The following is a 24,277-nucleotide window of genomic DNA, read 5'->3' as shown; positions in this document are numbered from 1 at the left end:
CAACAAAAACTGAAAATTGGAGGAAAGGAAAAAGGAAATAAATGCATGTTAAGTTTCTTATATAGGGTAGAATTTATAAAAAACGGCTCTGTCTTAAAATGTTTAACTAGAGAGAAAAAAATAGATTAAAGAGTCTTTTTCTGATTTGCGTTTCTCTGATGGCCAGTGATGATGAGCATTTTTTCTTGTGTCTTTTGGCTGCATAAATGTCTTCTTTTGAGAGTGTCTGTTCATATCCTTTGCCCACTTTTGATGGGGTTGTTTTTTTCTTGTAAATTTGTTGGAGTTCATTGTAGATTCTGGATATTAGCCCTTTGTCAGATGAGTAGATTGCAAAAATTTTCTCCCATTCTGTAGGTTGCCTGTTCACTCTGATGGTAGTTTCTTTTGCTGTGCAGAAGCTCTTAACCACAATGAGATACCATCTCACACCAGTTAGAATGGCGATCATTAAAAAGTCAGGAAACAACAGGTGCTGGAGAGGATGTGGAGAAATAGGAACACTTTTACACTGTTGCTGGGACTGTAAACTAGTTCAACCATTGTGGAAGTCAGTGTGGCGATTCCTCAGGGATCTAGAACTAGAAATACCATTTGACCCAGCAGTCCCATTACTGGGTATATACTCAAAGGATTATAAATCATGCTGCTATAAAGACACATGCACATGTATGTTTATCACGGCACTATTCACAATAGCAAAGACGTGGAACCAACCCAAACGTCCAACAATGATAGACTGGATTAAGAAAATGTGGCACATATACACCATGGAATACTATGCAGCCATAAAAAATGATGAGTTCATGTCCTTTGTAGGGACATGGATGAAGCTGGAAACCATCATTCTCAGCAAACTATCGCAAGGACAAAACACCAAACACCACATGTTCTCACTCATAGGTGGGAATTGAACAGTGAGAACACATGGACACAGGAAGGGGAACATCACACACCGGGGCCTATTGTGGGGTGGGGGGAGGGGGAGGGATAGCATTTGGAGATATACCTAATGTTAAATGACGAGTTACTGGGTGCAGCACACCAACATGGCGCATGTATACATACGTAACTAACCTGCACGTTGTGCACATGTACCCTAAAACTTAAAGTATAATTTAAAAAAAAAAAAGAGTCTTTTTCTGACCACCTTCTGCATGTTAAGAAAGTTTCTTTTAAGCTTTTAGATAATAACTACTAAAATAAATTTACCATTTATTAAGCATGCAATTTTGTGCCATCTGCTATGCTAAGCACTTAAATACTTGTCTTTGAAAAGTATATACTGATGCCAGCCTAGGCAACATAAAGAGACCTTGTCTTTACAAAAAAATAAAAATAAATTAGCCAAGCGTGGTGGCACATACCTGTGCTCCCAACTAGTCGGGAGGCTGAAGTTGGAGAATTGCTTGAGCCCAGGAGGTTGAGGCTGCAGTGAGCCAGGAACATGCCACCACGCTTCAGCCTGGGTGAGAACAGCTTGGAAAACATAACAAGACCTTGATATATCTCAAAAATAAATAAACATATATGTATATATGTGTATATGTGTGTGTGTGTGTATATATATATATAAAATGATGTAAACATATAATGATGTAGGAAAATACAATATAGTAAGTTAAGATTTCAAAAATCAGGTATTAAAACAATATCAGTTTTGTTTTTAAAATATATAAATATGCATAGAAAATCAAAAAGTATATATTCTGTAATAATAAAAGCTCTCCCTCTGAGGAATAGAAATGATTGTTGATGTTCATTTCTTTTAAACACTTTACTTTTCTATTTTCCAAATTTGTTATAATCAGTGCTTATTATTTATAAAGTAAGAAAAATGGTAGGAGGCCAGATGAGGTGGCTAATGCCTGTAATCCCAGCACTTTGGGAGGCCGAGGTGGTAGGATTGCTTGAGTCTAAGAGTTCAAGACCAGCCTGGTCAATATTGTGAGATCCTGTCTCTACAAAAAATAAAAATAAAAATAAATTAGCCAGGCTTGGTGGCCCACACCTGTGGTTCCAGCTACTCAGGAGGCTGAGGTGGGAGGGTCACTTGGGCCCAGAAGATTGAGCCTGCAGTGACCTGTGATCCTGCCTCTGCACTGCAGCCTGGGCAACAGAGTGAGACCCTGTCTCAAAAAAAGAAAAGAAAAAGGGTGGGAAAAGTATTAAATTTTACTTCAGAGTGAGAATCTTGGTTTAGTTAAAGGAGAGAATTTTCTAATGATAATTTTCAGTGGGTTCAAGAAAAGAAAAAGCAGCTTTTTAACTCATCTGTTTATTTGTGTCTAAAGATAAGGATACAGAATAATTTACTTCTCAAAATTTCTTCTAAGCTCGAGTTCATAATTGTTATTATTCCTTATTTCTTCTTTCAACCAGAGTTCTATATACCCCTGGCCACACTGATGATCACATGGCTCTACTCTTAGAAGAGGAAAATGCTATCTTTTCTGGAGATTGCATCCTAGGGGAAGGAACAACGGTATTTGAAGACCTCTATGATTATATGAACTCTTTAAAAGAGTTATTGAAAATCAAAGCTGATATTATATATCCAGGTGGGTAATTTTTAAATTTTTTTATATTTTTATGTTTTTAAATAGAGACAAGGTCTTGCTATGTTTTCCAGGCTGTTCTCAAACTCCTGACCTCAAGCAGTCCTCCCACCTCAACCTCCCAAAGCGCTGGGTATACAGGCATGCCAAAGTGGGTAGTTTTTCAAACCTAGCAAACCATTTGTGTCAAATGATGAGGAAGGTTCATTTTGGCTTGTCTCTGTATGTATTTGGCCTTGAAGAGATAACATATAAGGCCAGGCTCAGTGGCTCACACCTGTAATCCCAGCACTTTGGGATGCCAAGGTGGGCAGATCATGAGGTCAGGAGTTCAAGACCAGCCTGGCCAACATGGTGAAACCCCATCTCTACTAAAAATAAAAAAATTAGCTGAGTGTGGTGGCGCACACTTGTAATCCCAGCTACTTGGGAGGCTGAGACAGGAGAATCGCTTGAACCTGGGAGGTGGAAGTTGCAGTCAGCAGAGATTGCACCACTGCATGCCAGCCTGGGTGACAGAAGCAAGACTCTGTCTGGGGGAAAAAAAAAACATATCAACTACTTCTTTAAAATATACCCCTCTTTGAGAGGCCTAGGTGGGCAGATCACCTGAGGTCAGGAGTTCGAGATCAGCCTGGCCAACATGGTGAAACCCTGTCTCTACTAATAATACAAAAATTACCCAGGCGTGGTGGCAGGTACCTATAATCCCAGCTACGCGGGAGGCTGAGGCAGGAGAGTTGCTTGAACCTGAGAGGTGGAGGTTGTAGTGAGCCAAGATCCGCCATTGTACTCCAGCCTGGGCAACAGAGCGAAACTCTGTCTCAAAAAAAAAAAAAAAAAAAAAAAAAAAAAAAAAGGAAAATACACCCCTAAGTCCTGTCTAGCTGTGCAGTTAAACTTAAAGAGAAGGCCAAGAGCCATATTAATAACTTTTGATAAAGATATGAGGGTTATTTTTCAACATACAGTTATTAATAGAACTGTTAAAAAGACATAAACTTACATTGAAATGGGAAAATGTTTTCATTCCATAAACCACTGTTATTTTTGTTAACTTGATTTTTATTTGGACCACATTTTAGCTGTGTAACTTTGGGTAATGTTTGACCTCTGAGCTTTAGTTTTTTTAATTTACAATATTGAAATACCAATAGCTTCTATATCAACTATAAAATGGTATCTTTATTTCCATTCTCCAGAAAAAGAAACATGTTAGTGTCTCAGATCTCACTAGACTGTTCTACAATATCAATCTCTCCTTCATCTGAAGAGCTAAGAAATGGCCAGGCGCAGTGGCTCACGCCTGTAATCCCAGCTCTTTGGGAGGCCAAGGCAGGCAGATCACCTGAGGTCAGGACTTCAAGACCAGCCTGGCCAATATGGCAAAACCCCATCCCTACTAAAAATACAAAAATTAGCCAAGCGTCTTGGTGGGCACCTGTAATCCCAGCTTCTCAAGAGGCTGAGGCAGGAAAATCACTTGAACCTGGGAGGCAGAGGTTGTAGTGAGCAGAGATCACGCAACAGAGTGAGACTCCTTCTCAAAAAAAAAAAAAAAAAGCTAAGAAAGACACAGGACCCAATAAAAAGGCCCAAAAGGAAAAAGGGACTAGGTCACTTAACTTCCTAAGTTCTTCTAACTTGCGATTAACCAAGCCATTGAAAGATCCGTCCATCCAGTATCTTCAACACATTTACACTCTGCGATGAGTTCCTACTGCTGGGGGAATAGAAAACATACGGTAGAGCTGGGCATTTAGATTTATATGATGACATTAAAGGATTGCGGGCTGATAGCTTTGGGGGGGTTTGTTTGTTTGTTTTGCTTTGTTTTTGCTAAAGACAGCTATTTTTAAAGCGAAGAGGGCAGACGTTGAGTGAATTCACATTCAAGCTAAGCTAATGAGAGGCTACCTAGTAAAGATTCTAGAGTGCTTTAGTGAATCCAGTGAACTGGCTTACTAGCACAGCAGTTGTTTATATGTAAATTATGCTCTGTAGCCATAGCTACCATATATTAAAGTCTTCTAGCCATCAGGTTTTGTGCAGGGGCCTTTACAGTTGTCATCCTCACCAAAACCCATGTAAAGTAGGTAGTGGTTTCCTCACCACACAGCAGAAGAAACAGCTTAGAGAGATTCAGATACTTCCTCATTTATTAGCCACACAGCAAATAAATGATAGGTCTGTGTCTAACCAGATCCCGTAATAGGTTAGCCTGCTTCTGGATATTTTGTTCTCAAATATTTAAGAACATCATTCTTGCAGACTTATATAATATATAATATTAATGTGTACTGTCTTAAAGGGGAAGTAAATTATAGTATAACTTAATCTGGGTTGTCAAAATTTCTGACATACAGAAGCCTATACATAGGATTCTTAAAGTTTTACTGTGGGTCTTGTGAATTTTTAATAGAGCTTGGTCATGTACATGAAACTGCTTTTTACATTGTCCTTTTGCAGTATTTTATAAGCTTAGCCTAATGGTCAAGAGCACAGAGTGGTTAAGAGATCCTGTCAGAATCCTAACTCCACCCCTTCTTAGCTATGTAACTGTGGACGGATTATTTACCCTCCGTATGTCTCAGTTTCTACCATAAGAAATGTGTAATAATTGTACCTACTTCATGGGATTCTTGTAAGAATAATGTATGTTAAGCATTTAGGGCAGTGCCTAGCACATAGTGAGCACTCCATAAACATTACCTATTGTTATTATTGTAGTTGCTATTTTTATTGCTGTGTTTTATTGTTAAATTTCTATTCCATATTTTTAATGTACACAATATTTTCTATAGATTGTATTTGCTATAATTTTCTAATTGGGGGGTATTGTATATAATTTTTAAATCTCTTTCACCTGTATAGCTTTCCAAATAGTTCATATTTGACATTTAGTATGCTTTTTCAATATATCATATGAATTATTTTTAAATAGAGTGAGTTAGCTTCTGTTGTACTTAGTATTTTTTTATCTGACTGAAGTAACTCTTATAATTATTTTAATTCAGGACATGGCCCAGTAATTCATAATGCTGAAGCTAAAATTCAACAATACATTTCTCACAGAAATATTCGAGAGCAGCAAATTCTTACATTATTTCGTGAGAACTTTGAGAAATCATTTACAGTAATGGAGCTTGTAAAAATTATTTACAAGGTAATTTTCAGTTTTCTTATTTGTATGTAGCCACAAATTTATTAGAATTATCTATTTAGTAGACTATAGAAATGATAAACTTATATCCCAGATCAGAAGTTACGCCACTTTTCTAGATTTGAGACCAGCAGCCTAAACTTTCTACAGTGCTAAAATTAAACAAAAACTGGCCTTAGAGAACAAAGATAGCCATTTCGAGCCATCATTGAACTTTATATACTTAACTATGTAGGAGAAACTGCCTAACTATGTAGGAGAAACTACCAACAGCCTGATGATTACATTTTGTAATAATTTTTGCATTATTCTAGCCATCTTGATTATCTTGTGTCCCAGCCTGCACCAAGAGAGGAGGGGTGACCTGCTAGACACAAATATTGGAATGTTAACAGTGAGAAGTAGTAGCAAAGCAGTGAGAAGTAGTAGCAATGCCAAACAATGGAGAAAAAGAAAAAAAAAATCAAAGAACATGAGTAAAATAGTATGTAGGGAAAGAGCCTTACACCTCACTGGCCTCTGAGAATATCACTGTATTGACAGCACTATATAGCAGTCAGTATAATTCAGTTTTTCAGCAAATGTTTATTAGATGTCTGCTGTGTAGGCAGCATAGCTTAGAGGTTAAAAATGTAAGCTTTTGTGGCCAGGCGTGGTGGCTCACCCCTGTAATCCCAGTATTTTGGGAGGCTAAGTGGGAGGTTTGCTTCAGCCCAGGAGTCCGAGACAAGCTTGGGCAACATAGTGAGACCTCATCTCTACAAGAAATTTTTTAAATGAGCCAGGTGTCATGGAACATGCCTGTGATCCCAGCTGCTCGGGTGGTTGAGATGGGAGGATCACATGAGCCTGGGAAGTCAAGGCTGCAGTGAGCCTACATCGCACCGTTGCACACCAGCCTAGGTGACAGTGCAAGACTGTATCTCAAAAACTTTTTTTTTTGAGATGGAGTTTTGCTCTTGTTGCCCAGGCTGGAGTGCAGTGGCGCCATCTTGGCTCACCACAACCTCTGCCTCCTGGGTTCACGCGATTCTCCTGCCTCAGCCTCCCGAGTAGCTGGGATTACAGGCATGTGCCACCATACCCAGCTAATTTTGTATTTTTAGTAGAGATGGTGTTTCTCAATGTTGGTCAGACTGGTCTCGAACTCCCGACCTCAGGTGATCCACCCGCCTCAGCCTCCCAAAGTGCTGGGATTACAGGCATGAGTCACTGCGCCCGGCCCAAAAACTTTTTTAAAAAAATTAAATTTAAATTAAAATATACAAAGATATTACCCTGTAACCTAATAAATAAATTACAGGGCCAACTGTCTGTAGCATCATGAAAACTTTCTAAGAATAATTTTACATTTATTCATTCATAAAATATTAATGTGTTTCTGCTATGTATTATTATGCTAAACACTGAATATTCAGTAATGAACAAAACAGATACTGCTGCCAGGCCGGGCATGGTGGCTCACGCCTGTAATCCCAGCACTTTGGGAGGCCGAGGCGGGCGGATCACCCGAGGTCAGGAGTTCGAGACCAGTCTGGCCAACATGGTGAAACCCCATCTCTACTAAAAATACAAAAATTAGCGAGGCATGGTGGCACACGCCTGTAATCCTAGCTACTCGGGAGGCTGAGGCACGAGAATAGTTTGAACCTGGGAGGTGGAGGTTGCAGTGAGCCGAGATCGCGCCATTGCACTCCAGCCTAGGTGACAAGAGTGAAACTCTGTCTCAAAAAAAAAGATACTGCTACTGTCTTTATGGAGCTTACAACCTATTCTATCTATAGGAGTATATATAGAATATAAAACAAGATGTATACAAAGTGAAATTGTTAAAAATGTCAAACAAGTTAAAAATGTGTTTAAGATAGGCCAGGCGCAGTGGCTCACGTCTGTAATCCCAGCACTTTGGGAGGCCGAGGCAGGTGGATCACAAGGTCAAGAGATCGAGACCATTCTGACCAACATGGTGAAACCCCGTCTCTACTAAAAGTACAAAAATTAGCTGGGCGTGGTGGTGCTCGCCTGTAGTCCCAGCTACTCGGGAGGCTGAGGCAGGAGAATTGCTTGAACCTGGGAGGCGGAGGTTGCAGTGAGCCGAGATGCACCACTGCATTCCAGCCTGGCGACAGAGTGAGACTCTGTCTCAAAAAAAAAAAAAAATGTGTTTAAGATAAACTTTTGCTACATTTTGCTTTTCTTCAAAGCTTTCAAAAAATTAACTGTGTTCTTTTTTTTAAAAAAAAAGGAATTTTTTTCACCTTCATTTTTCTTTTAGAATACTCCTGAGAATTTACATGAAATGGCTAAACATAATCTCTTACTTCATTTGAAAAAACTAGAAAAAGAAGGAAAAATATGTGAGTATGCTTCCAAATTTTCTTCTATTACCAGCATTTAAAATATTTTTACAGATGCCTTAGTTTCCTTTGAGGAAAAATAATACCCATCAGAGTTCTCCCATGAATATCACTTTAAGTTGGAGAGACAGGCGCTAGGAAGGTCAGTAGCACAGGGCCAGTGGACCACAAGCTGGAACCAAAAGCTCCCAGGGGAATTAGAATCTCAGTTGGAATTCCAATCCTTACCCACCAGAATGGCAATCAAAGACATGTAGCAGGAAGATAACTTTTCTTCTCCCAGACCCAAAAACCACGAAGAATTTCACATGTGGTAGATTTGGGAACAGCCAAAGGTTTTAAACAGTGGTAAAGGTAGTAAACTTAGAGATGTCAAAGCAGTAATTATGTAATTATTTTCTAGTGTTAGTTTGTCAAACTAATAATCTTTATAGAAATGTAATCCTTAAAATCCAGAATTCTAAGCTTGAATTTGATGTAGAAGCCTTAGCAATGTTTTTACATGTACCAAAAATACCCAACTTTATATTGAGCAACAAAATTATTTTAAGAATGAATGCTTTTTCTAGCCACAAGGTAACTTAAAATTCAGTGCATTTACTTATCTATTGTTAAATTTTTACTCTCTGATTTTCTTTTTACAGTTAGCAACACAGATCCTGACAAGAAATGGAAAGCTCATCTTTAGTTTCAGATTAAAGAAAGCTTTGTTTTATTTTGCTTTCAGAGAATGGTATGTTTTCTTAACTATAGGTTATTTTATAGAGAATATAAAAGTATAAAACATTAAAAATAACCCTAGATATACTTTAAAATAATGTTATATTTATGCTAAAATATGTAAATTACACTATACAACCATATGATAGGTTATTTCTCTAACCTTGTCTTCTAACGTTTTACCAAAAATTCATAATCTAATAGTTTATCAGTTTTCAATAGATTAAATAAAATGATTACTTTAAAAATAATAAAATTTATCTAATTTAAAGTTGATATTATTTTTGGCCGTTAGTTATCTATTACTAGTGATCAGTTATACTGTTTTCTATAGCTACTTTATTTAACAGCACAGATTTCTATGCACCTTTACTCTTTCCTCAACCCTTGTCTCTATCTGTACATAATTGCTTTGTCTTGATGTTTCTATCAACTATATCATGACTATCTATTGGTTCCATAACTCTGTATCATGTGTATTTTCTTATTCTGGTATACCACAAATGATTCATGCAAATGAATTTTTGGTGATTGAAAAATATTAAATTCCCAATTTAAAGTATTATATGATAAATAATTATTTCTGTAATCCATTAATGCAACCAACATACTTTCCAAGTTTAAATCTTAGTATGTAAATAGTCATCAGCTTATACATGAATTAGGTACCAAAAGTTTACATTTAAATTAAAGGATTATAAGATAGGGCATTTTTTATATTTTTATATAAGTAGTGTTCTTATATAGTGGTTAGGTTCACAAGGTAGTCCACCAATGCTTACTTAACTTATACAGTTCTCAAACTACAATACTAAAATAAGCCCAGAATCCTGAGTGTATTTTGTTTACTCTTCCCTAAAGATTGAGACTTAAAAATTTTTTTTTGTTTTATTTGTTTGCTTTTGAGACAGTGTCTCTCTCTCTCTGTCACCCAGGCTGGAGTGCAATTGCACAATCTCCGCTCACTGCAGTCTCTACCTCCCAGGTTCAAGCAATCCTCCCACCTCAGCCTCCTGAATAGCTGGGACTACAGGCACATAGCACCACACCTGGCTGATGTTTTTATTTTTTATACAGACAGAATCTCACTATGTTGCCTAGGCTGGTCTTGAACTCCTGGGCTCAAGCAGTCCCCCTGCCTCAGCCTCCCAGCATGCTGGGATGATAGGCATGAGCTACCACACCCAGCCAGACTTAAAATTTTTTTAATTTCCTTTGGCAGCTTCACCTCTTTCTGCCTCTTTTCCCAAGGTCCCTAGCATTTTCATGCCATCCTAATACACTTATTCTCATGCTTTGAAGACCTAGACCCGTATTCCTAGAACTGGTTCTTATTACAAAATAACTTATAAACTCAAAAACAAAAGCAACCTGATTGAAAAATAGACAAAGAACTTGAGTAGACATTTCTCCAAAAAAGATATACAAGTGGCCTATAAGCACATGAAAAGATATTCATCATCACTCATCATTAGATAAATGTTAAAACCCTGAGATACCACTTCAGGCCCATTACGATAGCTGTTACTAAAAATTAAAAATTAAAAAAAAAAAACAGAAAATAACAAGTGTTGGCAAGAATGTGGAGGAATTAGAACCCTTGTGCATTGCTGACAGGAACATAAAATAGTGTAGCCACTATGGAAAACAGTATGATACTTCCTCAAAAAAACCTTTAGAATTACCATATGATCAGCAATTTATCTTCTGACTATATACCCAAAAAATTAAAAGCAGGGACTTAAACAGACATTCGTACATCCATGTTCACAGCAACTTTATTCACAATAGCCAAAAGATGGAAGCAACCTAAATGTCCATTGAAGGATGACTGGATAAATAAAATGTGGTATACACATACAGCAGAATATTAGTTCTTCTTAAAAAGGAGGGAAATTCTGACGTGGGCTACAACATAGATGAACCTTGAAGACATTATGCTAAGTGATATTAGCCTGTCACAAAAGGATAAATACTATACAATAGTACTTATAGGAGGTGCGTAGAGTAGTCAAATTCATACAGACAGAAAGAAGAATGGTGGATACCAGGGAATAGGAGGAAGGGGAAATGGGAAAATAGTGTTTCATGTAAGAAGTTTTGCAGTTTGGGTAGATGAAAAGAGTTCTGGGGATAGGTGGTAATGGTGATTGCAAAACACTGTCAATGTACTTGATGTCACTTAATGATACTGTGTTAGGGTTCTCCAGAGGGGCAGAACCAATAATAATATTACTGTATATATAAAAGGGAGGTTATTAGGGAGAATTGGCTTACACAGTTACAAGACAAAATCCCACAATAGGCTATCTGCAAGCTGGGGAAATGAGAAGCCGGTAGCCTGGCTCGGTCCAAGTCCAAAAGCCTCAAAACCAGGGAAGCCAACAGTGCAGCCAAGGCTGAGGCCAAAGGATTTATTCTTTTTTTTTTTTTTTGTAACAGAATCTCACTGTGTTGCCCAGGCTAGAGTGCGGTGGTGCGATTTCAGCTCACAGCAACCTCTGCCTCCTGGATTCAAGCAATTCTCCTGCCTCAGCCTCCCGAATTGCTGGGATTATAGCCCCAGCTAATTTTTGTATTTTTAGTAGAAACTGAACTGGTTCTTATTAGAACTATATTTTTAGTTTCACCATGTTGGCCAGGCTGGTCTCAAACTCTAGGATTCATTCTTGATATGCCTCTCTTCCTCCTCTTATAACCAAATCTTCACCAAGTATGTAATGCCTATTCCACCTCCAGAATGTATCACTACCTCTTACCCCACCAATACTCCTTAGTCCAGGCCATGGTCCTCTCTTGCCTGAACTAGTGCAATCAATTCTGGGCTTCCTACTTCTATTCTTGGAGGAAATTGGGGAACAGGGGTGAGAAGGGCATTCTGAGCTGAGGAAATCTTACGTAAAAGCCATGGAATTATTGTCTTTTTATAGTACTGTGGCCCACTTCAGATACTGCAGGCTGCAATTAGATATATTGGAAGAGGGGTGATAATGGAAGGCTAGTACATTTATTGTTTATGGAAAGAGTCTAGCAACTGAGAGCTTTAACCAAAACAATGGCATTCATTAAATGTCTGCTTTGTCCTGGGTACTGGGCCAGGCCCTGGGGATACAAAGGTAAACAAAAGAAGCTCATATTTTAGTTATGAAGACATACAATTACCATGTGCTAGAGTAAAGGAAGAGGAGCTAACCTGGCTGAGTTATAGAAAGCTGCTTAGAGGACCCTGAGCTCAGTCTTAAAAGATGAGTACATGGTAGGCAGACGAAGTTAGGGGTATTTGTATGGGAGACGAGAGGAATTGTTCTAACTGGAGGAAATCGTGTATGCATATAAACAGATATGGCAGAGCATCATTTGGTTGGGGAACTAATTTATACAACTAGAATTTATGGTATTGTGTGTTGAGGCCATAGGGATAACAAGAATCTCATGGGAACACAGAATTCACACAGAAAGCAACGTATTGTCATCCAGCCATGCTTCATACAGATTGGAGTATATATACTTTAGGAATTGGAAAGCAGTTCAGGTTCTGGGGCAATTCTAGTGTTATTTAGTTGTATCCTCACAGCAAGAGTTGGCCCTCTTCTATTATGGTGATTTCATTCCTCTATTCATTTCCATTACTTCAGACAATCACTTTACCTTCCGTTCAGAACACCCGGAAGTTTTGGCTGACTCATTTTCTGTTTATTCAAGAGTTTCCGAAGCCTGCTTGTCGTCACCTCTGCCTTCTCTCTGCATATCTTCAGCCTCTGTTTGGCAACTGAGTAGCCCTCTTTGTATCTCGGGTACTGATCTCCTCATAGAAAACAATCTGATTGGTGTGTTTGTTCTCTGTTTGAGAGAATTTTCTTGCCACACTTTCTTATATGTTACTGACCAGCCTTTATGCTGACTGCTCTGGACCAATCATCTGGGACGAGAAGTTTTATCAGAAGGGGACAGGGACCCCATTGAACAGAGGCAGTGGGGAGCATAAGCACTCTGAGATTTGGTCTTTTCAGTATAGTGGGGGAAGGAAAAAAACAGAAGAGGTACCAAGGATACTAGAATAAGGGATAAGAGATAGGATAAATATTTAAGAAGAGGAATAGCACTTAGAAACCTATTAGATATTGAGAGATGGGGGATCAGGCAGAAAGAGAGAAGTCTAGAAGAGCTATAGATTTCTGGCTTGGGCGGCTGGGTAGATGTTGGTAACCAGATTGAGAGAATAGAGGAAATGGGACAGGTAGAGTACAGAAGAGAAGAAAGATGCATTTTACTACAGATACAAGTTTGAAGTACCAGGAAACATCCAAAGGGAGATACCTAGTAGGCACTCAGATATATGGAACTGGAGCTAAGCAGATAAGATATATTTTGTTACAGGTAACAGAAACTTATTTCAACAAGCTTAAGCAAAAGGGGAAGTTGGTTGGCACATATAACCAACCTGAGAAGAATAAGGGTAGAGCAGAGCCAGGCCTGTGAACAAGAACAGATGTTTACATCCCATCAATACAACCCCAAACCTCTCACCTCTATTTATCTTTGCAAGTAAGAGACCCCACAGTCAACTGGGTTCTTCACATGATGAAGGACATGGACATGGTTATGGGAGCTCTGGGCTCATGTTATTTTTTTTTTTTTTTTTTTTTTTTTTTTGGAGACAGGATCTTGCTGTATCACCCAGGCTGGAGTGCAGTGCCACAGACACGGCTCACTGCAACCTCTGCCTCCCGGGCTTGAGTGATCCTCCTGCCTTAACTTCCCCAGTAGCTGGGACCACAGGTGCAGGCTACCATGCCTGGCTAATTTTTATTTATATTTTTTTTTGTAAAGATAAAGTCTTGCCATGTTGCCCAGGCTGGTCTTGAACTGAGCTCAAGCAATCCTCCTGCTTCAGTCTCCCACAGTGCTGGGATTATAGTCATGAGCCACCATACCTGGCCTCTAGGCTCATATTCTCACCACTCTATAACCAGCAGAAAAAGCTGGTTTGTCTAGCTTCGAGATGAAAAACCCTAGGGGAAGAATTCAGTGATTTATACTGGCTCATTACCCATTCCTTAGACCAGTCCCTGTGGTCAAGGAAACATTAGGTACTGCATTTAGCCCAGCTACCCCTGTGGCTGGAGTGAGCAAAGTCTGTTCCCAGAAGAAGACTGTCACAGGAAGATTCTGGACAAATATAGTTACCTTACTAAATAACTTTGCTTTCTTTCTAATTTGTGTAAAATATATAATAAATAAATCCAATTTTTCTGCAGCAATTTACAGAATGACTGGGTCAACTCTGTGCAACGTTAATCGTTTCTGTGTATTTATCTTGCGACTTTGAGTATTTTGAAGTCATCTCTCCAGAAAAAGTTAGTGAAGTGGCTGGTAGCAGGGAAGGTAGAATCCTGGAGAACATGTGAAAAGAATCAAGGGCAGATAGTCTTATTTCTGCCAGTGCTGTTTATCAGTGCCCCCTCCAAAGTCTGTGCTTATAAACACAACACATCAAAATGAGACCTGCCGCCAATTTTCAGGGAATGTTGGAGAAGGAAAACTCTCATTATTATCAGTCTTTCCCTCCTATTCTATTTTTGGGGGTGCTTGGAAGGATACTTTTGCTTTAACTTTTATTTTAAAAAATAGAGATGGGGTTTGCCATGTTGCCCAGGCTGCTCTAGAACTCCTAGACTCAAGCTATCCACCAGCATCAGCCTCCCAAAGTACTAGGATTATAGGCACGAGCCACCACACCCAGCCAATACTAAGTGTTTTGTTAGGGGATATATGTTCAGTATTTGAAATATTGGGGGATCTGTCCCAAGATGGCCGAATAGGAACAGCTCTGGTCTGCAGCTCCCAGTGTGATCGATGCAGAAGACGGGTGATTTCTGCATTTCCAACTGAGGTACCTGGTTCATCTCACTGGGACTGGTTGGACAGTGGGTGCCGCCCACGGAGGGCAAGCTGAAGCAGGGTGGGGTGTCGCCTCACCCGGGAAGTGCAAGGGGTCGGAGAATTTCCCTTTCCTAGCCAAAGGAAGCCGTGACAGACTGTACCTGGAAAAATGGGACACTCCCACCCAAATACAGCAATTTTCCCAAGGTCTTAGCAACCACCAGACAAGGAGATTCTCTCCTGTGCCTGGCTCAGTGGGTCCCACGCCCACGGAGCCTTGCTCACTGCTTGCACAGCAGTCTGAGATCAAACTGCAAGGCAGCAGCCTGGCTGGGGGAGGGGCATCCACCATTGCTGAGGCTTGAGTAGGTAAACAAAGCGGCCAGGAAGCTCGAACTGTGCAGAGCCCACCGCAGCTCAGCAAGGCCTACTGCCTCTAGACTCCACCTCTATGGGCAGGGCTTAGCTGAACAAAAGGCAGCAAACAACTTCTGCAGACTTAAACGTCTGCAGCTCTGACAGCTCTGAAGAGAGCAGTGGTTCTCCCAACATGGCGTGTGAGCTCTGAGAATGGACAGACTGCCTCCTCAAGTGGATCCCAGACCCCCATGTAGCCTAACTGGGAGACACGTCCCAGTAGGGGCCGACAGATACCTCATATAGGCAGGTGGCCTTCTGGGACGAAGCTTCCAGAGGGAAGGATCAGGCAGCAATATTTACTGTTCTGCAATATTTGCTGTTCTGCAGCCTCCACTGCTGATACCCAGGCAAACAGCATCTGGAGTGGACCTCCAGCAAACTCCAACAGACCTACAGCTGAGGGACCTGTTAGAAGGAAAACTAAAAAACAGAAAGGAATAGCATCAACATAAACAAAAAAGACATCTACACCAAAACCCCATCTGCAGGTCACCAACATCAAAGACCAAAGGGAGATAAAACCACAAAGATGGGGAGAAACCAGAGCAGAAAAGCTGAAAATTCTAAAAATCAGAGCACCTCTTCTCCTCCCAAGGATCACAGCTCCTTGCCAGCAATGGAACAAAGCTGGGCAGAGAATGACTTTGACGAGTTGACAGAAGTAGGCTTCAGAAGGTCGGTAATAACAAACTTCTCTGAGCTAAATGAACATGTTCGAACCCATCGCAAGGAAGTTATAAACCTTGAAAAAAGGTTAGACGAATGCCTAACTAGAATAAACAGTGTAGAGAAGACCTTAAATGACCTGATGGAGCTGAAAACCATGGCAAGAGAACATCGTGACACATGCACAAGCTTCAATAGTCAATTCGATCATATGGAAGAAAGAGTATCAGTGATTGAAGACCAAATTAATGAAATAAAGCGAGAAGACAATGTTAGAGAAAAAAGTAAAAAGAAATGAACAAAGCCTCCAAGAAATAAAGGACTATGTGAAAAGACCAAATCTACGTTTCCTTGGTGTACCTGAAAGTGATGGGGAGAATGGAACCAAGTTGGAAAACAGTCTTCAGGATATTATCCAGGAGAACTTCCCCAAGAAATAAAGAAGGCCATTACATAATGGCAAAGGGATCAATTCAACAAGAAGAACTAACTATCCTAAATATATATGCACCCAATACAGGAGCACCCAGATTCATAAAACAAGTTCTTAGAGACCTAAAAAGAGACTTAGACTCCCACACAATAATAATGGGAGACTTTAACACCCCACTGTCAATATTAGATCAATTAGTCAGAAAATTAACAAGGATATCCAGGAATTGAACTCAGCTCTGCACCAAGCAGACCTAATAGACATCTACAAAACTCTCCACCCCAAATCAACAGAATATACATTCTTCTCAGCACCACATCACACTTATTCCAAAATTGACCACATAATTGGAAGTAAAGCACCCCTCAGCAAATGTAAAAGAACAGATATCACAACAAACTGTCTCTCAGACGACAGTGCAATCAAATTAGAACTCAAGATTAAGAAACTCACTCAAAACCGCTCAACTACATGGAAACTGAACAACTTGCTCCTGAATGACTACTGGGTAAATAACGAAATGAAGGCAGAAATAAAGATGTTCTTTGAAACCAATGAGAACAAAGACACAATGTACTGGAATCTCTGGGACACATTTAAAGCAGTGTGTAGAGGGAAATTTATAGCACTAAATGCCCACAAGAGAAAGCAGGAAAGATCTAAAATTGACACCCTAACATCACAATTATAAGAATTAGAGAAGCAAGAGCAAACACATTCAAAAACTAGCAGAAGGCAAGAAATAACTAAGATCAGAGCAGAACTGAAAGAGATAGTGACACAAAAAAACTTTCAAAAAATCAATGAATCCAGGAGCTGGTTTTTTGAAAACATCAACAAAATTGATAGACCGCTAGCAAGACTAATAAAGAAGAAAAGAGAGAAGAATCAAATAGACACAATAAAAAATGATAAAGGGGATATCACCACCAATCCCACAGAAATACAAACTACCATCAGAGAATACTATAAACACCTCTACACAAATAAACTAGAAAATCTAGAAGAAATGGATAAATTCCTGGACACATACACTCTCCCAAGACAAAACCAGGAAGAAGTTGAATCTCTGAATAGATCAATAACAGGCTCTGAAATTGAGGCAATAATTAACAGCCTACCAACCAAAAAAAGTCCAGGACCAGATGGATTCACAGCCAAATTCCACCAGAGGTACAAAGAGGAGCTGGTACCATTCCTTCTGAAACTATTCCAATCAATAGAAAAAGAGGGAATCCTCCCTAACTCATTTTATAAGGCCAGCATCATCCTGATACCAAAGCCTGGCAGAGACACAATAAAAACAGAGAATTTTAGACCAATATCCCTGATGAACATCGATGCAAAAATCCTTAATAAAATACTGGAAAACTGAATCCAGCAGCACATCAAAAAGCTTATCCACCATGATCAGGTCGGCTTCATCCCTGGGATGGAAGGCTAGTTCAACATATACAAATCAATAAACATAATCCATCACATAAACAGAACCAACGACGAAAACCACATGATTGTCTCAATAGATGCAGAAAAGACCTTCAATAAAATTCAACAGCCCTTCATGCTAAAAACTCTCAATAAACTAGGTATTGAGAGAACATATGTCAAAATAATAAGAGCTATTTATGACAAACCCACAGCCAATATCATACTGAATGGGCAAAAACTGGAAGCATTACCTTTGAAAACCGGCACAAGACAAGGATGCCCTCTCTCACCACTTCTATTCAACATAGTGTTGGAAGTTCTGGCCAAGGCAATCAGGCAAGAGAAAGAAATAAAGGGTATTCAGTTAGCAAAAGAGGAAGTCAAATTGTCCCTGTTTGCAGATGACATGATTGTATATTTAGAAAACCCCATCATCTCAGCCCAGAATCTCCTTAAGCTGATAAGCAACTTCAGCAAAGTTTCAGGATACAAAATTTAATGTGCAAAAAACACAAGCATTCCTATACATGAGTAACAGACAGAGAGCCAAATCATGGGTGAACTCCCGTTCACAATCACTACAAAGAGAATAAAATACCTAGCAATCCAACTTACAAGGGACGTGAAGGACCTCTTCAAGGAGAACTACAAACCACTGCTCAACAAAATAAAAGAGAACATGAACAAATGGAAGAACATTCCATGCTCATGGATAGGAAGAATCAATATAGTGCAATTGGCCATACTGCCCAAGGTAATTTATAGATTCAATGCCATCCCCATCAAGCTACCAATGACTTTCTTCACAGAATTGGAAAAAACTAAAGTTCATATGGAACCAAAAAAGAGCCTGCATTGCCAAACAATCCTAAGCCAAAAGAACAAAGCTGGAGGCATCACGCTACCTGACTTCAAACTATACTGCAAGGCTACAGTAACCAAAACAGCATGGTACTGGTACCAAAACAGATATATAGACCAATGGAACAGAACAGAGGCCTCAGAAATAACGCCGCACATCTACAACTATCTGATCTTTGACAAACCTGACAAAAACAAGAAATGAGGAAAGGATTCCCTATTTAATAAATGGTGCTGGGAAAACTGGCTAGCCATATGTAGAAAGCTGAAACTCGATCCCTTCCTTACACCTTATACAAAAATTAATTCAAAATGTATTAAAGACATAAATGTTAGACCTAAAACCATAAAAACCCTAGAAGAAAACCTAGGCAATACCATTCAGGACATAGGCATGGGCAAGGACTTCATGACTAAAACACCAAAAGCAATGGCAACAAAAGCCAAAATAGACAAATGGGATCTAATTAAACTAAAGAGCTTCTGCACAGCAAAAGAAACTACCATCAGAGTGACCAGACAACCTACAGAATTGGAGAAAATTTTTGCAATCTACCCATCTGACAAAGGGCGAATATCCAGAATCTACAAATAACTCAAATTTACAAGAAAAAAACAACCCCATCAAAAAGTGGGCAAAGGACATGAACAGACACTTCTCAAAAGAAGACATCTATGCAGCCAACAGACAAATGAAAAAATGCTCATCATCACTGGTCATCAGAGAAATGCAAATCAAAACCACAATGAGATACCATCTCATGTCAGTTAGAAAGGCAATCATTAAAAAGTCAGGAAACAACAGATGCTGGAGAGGATGTGGGGAAATAGGAATGCTTTTACACTGTAGGTGGGAGTGTAAATTAGTTCAACCATTGTGGGAGGCAGTGTGGCGATCCCTCAAGGATCTAGAATTAGAATTACCATTTGACCCAGCAATCCCATTACTGGGTATATACCCAAAGGATTATAAATCATTCTACTATAAAGACACATGCACACATATGTTTATTGCAGTACTATTCACAATAGCAAAGACTTGGAACCAACCCAGATGTCCATCAATGATAGACTGGATTAAGAAAATGTGGCACATATACACCATGGAATACTATGCAGTCATAAAAAAGGATGAGTTCATGTCCTTTGCAGGGACATGAATGAGGCTGGAAACCATCATTCTCAGCAAACTATCACAAGGACAGAAAACCAAGCACCACATGTTCTCATTCATAGGTGGGAATTGTTCAACTGAACAATTGGACACAGGGCAGGGAACATCACATACTGGGGCCTGTTGTGGGGTGGGTGGCTGGGGGAGGGATATCATTAGGAAATATACCTAATGTAAATGACGAGTTGATGGGTGCAGCAAACCAACATGGCACATGTATACCTGTGTATCAAACCTGCATGTTGTGCACGTGGACCCTAGACCTTAAAGTATAATAATAATAATAAAAAGAAATATTGGTTGTGAAAGTCTTGGTTCCACCTGCATTGGTGCCTTTTAAAACAAATTTGGAATTAAAGTGACTAGTGGGGGAGGGGGCACATAAAAGTGGACTTACTTGTGTATGCAGAATGTATCTCTGGAAAGATATCAAAAATATTAAAAGACCAATAACATTGGTTCCCTCCCAGGAGGAGAACTTTTAAGTGGCTAAGGGATGGAGGATAGGACCGGAAATTTTACAGTATACCCATTTATATCTTTAGGAATTGAATTATTTGAATGTATTGCCTATTTAAAGTATAAATAATAAAACATTTTAATGAAAATTAAAGGCCTGAGCTGTCTCATAGAATCTAATGGGGAAGTAGATGACCACTGGGAACTAGTGAGAACTAGTCTACAGTGAGGAGTTTATGATAGAGGTCTGGGTTAGAGATAGAGATTGGGAAGTCATCAGCACTGAGGTTGCAATTGAAGCAATGGGTGAGTGTGTGTAGACAACCTTGGGGTGGATACAGTAGTCCCCAGTTATCTGCAGTTTCACTTTCTGCAATTTCAGTTACCCACAGTCAACTGGGTCCAAAAATAGCTAAGTACAGAACAATAAGATATCTTGAGAGAGAGAGAGACCACATTCACATAACTTTTATTACAGGATACTGTTTTAATTGTTCTACTTTATTATTGTTAATCTCTTACTCTGCCTAATTTATAAATTAAACTTTATCATAGGTATGTATATATGTATGTATAGGAAAAAAACAGCAATGTATATATAAGGTTTGATGCTATTTGGTATGCAGTTTCAGGTATCCACTGGGGATCTTGGAATGTATCCCCAACAGTTAAGGGAGGACTACCGTATATAGGAAAAGAAGCTGCCAAAGATTAGAAAGATTGAATCAAGCACAGGACAATCACTGGGGGAGTAGTGTTTATCAGCCAAAAGAGGTGTCTGAAAAAGGAAGGTCAACAGTAGTAAATGAGGACTCTATTTTATGTGCTGCTTATGCTTATTTTGTCCATTATTGGATGATATAACATTAAATTATCAACAAAGTGCTTGTTACCAGTTTTATCCAGAGAAATTACTCATAATGCTAAATTTTAAACATTCTGAATCCCCAACAATCCACATTAAAAGCCATTAACATTATGTACAGTTTTTTAAAACATTAAGCATTATTCTTTGAAATAATGCTTATTATTATTGCTACTCCTTTCCCAGACCCAATAAAAAATAATAAGTATATAGAGGTATATATTCAAATAATAGTAAAAGAGGCTAGGCATGGTAGCTCACACCTGTAATTCCAGCACTTTGGGAGGGTCAGGCAGGAGGATCACTTGAGCTCAGAAGTTCACAAGAAGCCTGGGCAACATAGTGAGACCTCCTCTCTACTAAAATTAAAAAAAAAAAAATTAGGTGGGCATGATGGCGCTCTTGTAATCCCAGCTACTGTGGGGGCTAAGGTGGGAGGATCCCTTGAGCCTGGAAGGTTGAGGCTACAGCGAGCTGTGATCATGCCACTGCACTCCTACCTGGGCAACAGAGTGGAACTTTGTCTCAAAGGGAAAAAAAAAGGAAAAGAAAAATAGCTCTATGAAAAAACTTTGGAAAATAAAAACATATATAACCAAAATACATGGAAGTTTGAAAAACAAAGTTGAGAAATTTTTTAGAAATAGAACAACAAAAAACAAAAATGGAAAATAGAAAAGATAGAAGAATTTAGGAGGCAAGCTGAAAGTAAAATATTAATGTAATGAGTCCCCCCAAAAAAAGAACTGAAAATAGGCAGAAATTATCAAAGAAGAAATATAAGAAATTTTCCCAGACCTGCAAGATGAGTCTAAATTGAAAGGGTCTACTTAATATCCAACAACGTAAAAAAGATAAAACAATCCAAACCAAGACATACCATTGTGAAATTTCAGAACATCAGAAATAAGGAGAAGCTCTTAAGAGATTGTAGGTTGTAGGTGTGGTGGTAGGATTAGGGATTTGTAATCACTTAGAAGGGAACACAAATCAAAATGGCACTGACGTTTTCAGTGCTCAATGGGTATTAGGACAGAAGGCCTTCAAAAATCTGAGGGAAGGCTGGGTGCAGTGGCTCACACCTGTAATCCCAGCACTTTGGGAGGCCAAGATGGGAGGATTGCTTGAGGCCAGGAGTTTGAGACCAGCCTGGCCAACATAGCAAGACCCCATCTCAAATAACTAATGAATTTTAAAAATCTGAGGGAGAAATTATTTGCATCCTAGAAATGTATAACCGACCAATTAATTATGTGTGAATGTAAGGACTCAAAAAGTGTATCTGCCATGCAACTCTCTTTAGAGAACTGCAGGATGATAATACTCTAGAAAAATAGGAAAAAAGGAAAACACAAAATTGAAATAGTAAATCTACCACAGAAAAATGCCAAGAGGAAGTTATAAGACAAAGGTGTGCCCAGAGCCTTCTCCAGATTGGAGCGGGAGGAAGGGGGAGCTTCAGAGAGAGAGATCTCCAGGGGGAAAAATGGAACCAATATATTATCTGATATAGTTGAGCACTGGGGGTAAAAAAAAACTGCTGGTGGTCATACAACAGCTCTAGATGAACAATTGAAATAATGAGTTCATAGAAAACTACGCAGGTAGAAAATATGAGACAATTGTTTATTCCAGAAAACTAAAGTAGTGCAAGGAAGGAAATAATCATGAAATACTTTCTGCCTCTGCATCTTTTCTTAGGAAATAGTGTAAACACTGACCAAAAAATGGTGATACAGGATAACAGGAGATAGGAAGTGGGAAGTTAAGAATACTAAATCATCACCTATGATAATAGAAAGTCAATAAAGCCTAAAATTGGCAAATCAAGAAGTAGTAGAAGTGTTTTATTGGTTAATACTAGAAAAAAATGTCTAAAAGAGTTTAGTCATTGCCTTTGGGAAGTGTGGGACTGGGAGGAGAGAGAATGGAGAAATGTTTTTCCTGCTGTTACTATTTAATATTTAAATTACGTCTATTTATTAGTTTGGTAAAAATTTAAATTTTTAATGTCAAAATACTGATAGTATGCAATGGATGGGTTCCAACTTTTTAGTTCAGTGGAATAAGCATTTTTGCCCTAGAATTTTTATCCTGCAAAAGCTATCAGGAATTGGAAACAACGAAAGGTACATGCTTATTTATTGCTCACTTAGGTTTAAAAATAGGAATTTTCAAATTCATATTATTTCATGGATGCTATTCTGAAGTACAAAGTTTTCCCTAAAAAGAAATCCTGCACTTAGTATCTAGACTAAAGGACCTAGAGAATTAAGGTGAACTGGATTCAGACTTCTATGACCTTTACTGCAGTATGAAAACCATCTAAAGGGAACTAGATCCAAAGTTACCTGAATCCAGCAGGGTGCTATTTATATGTCTATGGTAGATCCCACCTTTGTTTTTTAGTCACAATATATTAGAGTATTAAAAAATCTATGATAGTTCAAGTTTCTCTCACTGAGAGTTGACTTGAATTTAGGATTCAGTAACTAGTAACTAGATTCGATAACTAGTAAAGAGAAAAAGGACCCTGCCTCTATCCCTCAGTCTTCAGCCAACACCACATTTTCTCTGTGTGTGGTCAAGTTACTACTAAATCTGTAGGAATGCAACATTTATATGGCAGACTCCCCTACTTATTTTTACTAGTGTTTTTAAGAAGTATGAGATGACTATGACCACAAAGAAGCACTCCCCTTAAGAATATTTTTTCCTGATGTATTTGAAAATAAAGACCAATCTTGAAAATCGTGTTGCTACAAATCAGATGTTTCCAAATATGTTGGGTTGCAGCAATTCAGGACCATATATATGACCTTATATTACATATGGTTGTATTAACACAGTGATGTCTTTGGCTCTTTAATGTTTTGAGTAAAGTGCATCTCTACCAAAAGACTAGTAAATTTGTTTTCCCATGTTTTATCCCATGATTTTAAAAGGTTTTAATCCATTGAGTATGAATTTCTTCTTTTTAGAGTGAGACTAATATCTACTCTAGTGGCATATAAAGCAACCCATGCTTTTAATATTTTCCTGAGTGTTGAAGAAAAGTTTTACCAGAAGTGTTCTGGTTTTATACCACAGAAGTCTTCCCAGCTTATAGAAGTAGATTAACCCTGCTTCAGTTTTCAAAAATGGTGAAAATGTCTATTACAAATGGTATACCTTAACATTTGATATCTAAACCTAAAATGCTAAGGACTGTTGTTAACCATCCATTCTCTCAGTGTAAAAATGCGTTCCTGGACCATTTGTATCACTGTCAATTGGTGGCTTATTACAAA

The 24,277-nt window shown here is 38.7% G+C and overlaps 1 protein-coding gene and 1 long non-coding RNA gene across 2 annotated transcripts in view, besides 1 other annotated feature; one reads left to right on the top strand and one right to left on the bottom strand.

The window, feature by feature from the left end:
• The window catches only part of LACTB2 (lactamase beta 2), a 31,920-nt gene extending 22,560 nt beyond the window's left edge, over positions 1-9,360 (top strand). Inside the window, exons 4-7 of the mRNA NM_016027.3 lie at positions 2,383-2,561; positions 5,576-5,724; positions 7,997-8,078; positions 8,723-9,360. Of these exons, the coding sequence (NP_057111.1) occupies positions 2,383-2,561; positions 5,576-5,724; positions 7,997-8,078; positions 8,723-8,766 (454 nt within the window). The 3' untranslated portion in view covers positions 8,767-9,360. The remainder of the gene's footprint in view (positions 1-2,382; positions 2,562-5,575; positions 5,725-7,996; positions 8,079-8,722) is intronic.
• LACTB2-AS1 (LACTB2 antisense RNA 1) overlaps positions 1-24,277 on the bottom strand; it is a 54,703-nt gene that overhangs the window by 16,654 nt on the left and 13,772 nt on the right. The window lies entirely within an intron of this gene.
• Positions 4,515-4,564: an enhancer, noted in NCBI's record as "active region_27509". NCBI's record gives its function as "activates an Ori minimal core promoter by ATAC-STARR-seq in GM12878 lymphoblastoid cells {active_cell/tissue: GM12878}" and the evidence as "EXISTENCE:reporter gene assay evidence [ECO:0000049][PMID:35858748]".

Source organism: Homo sapiens, chromosome 8 (assembly GCF_000001405.40).
Source record: "Homo sapiens chromosome 8, GRCh38.p14 Primary Assembly".
In the NCBI taxonomy this organism is placed as follows: domain Eukaryota; kingdom Metazoa; phylum Chordata; class Mammalia; order Primates; family Hominidae; genus Homo; species Homo sapiens.
The sequence above is the reverse complement of the archived record's forward strand: the minus strand, read 5'-3'. Positions and strand labels throughout refer to the sequence as shown.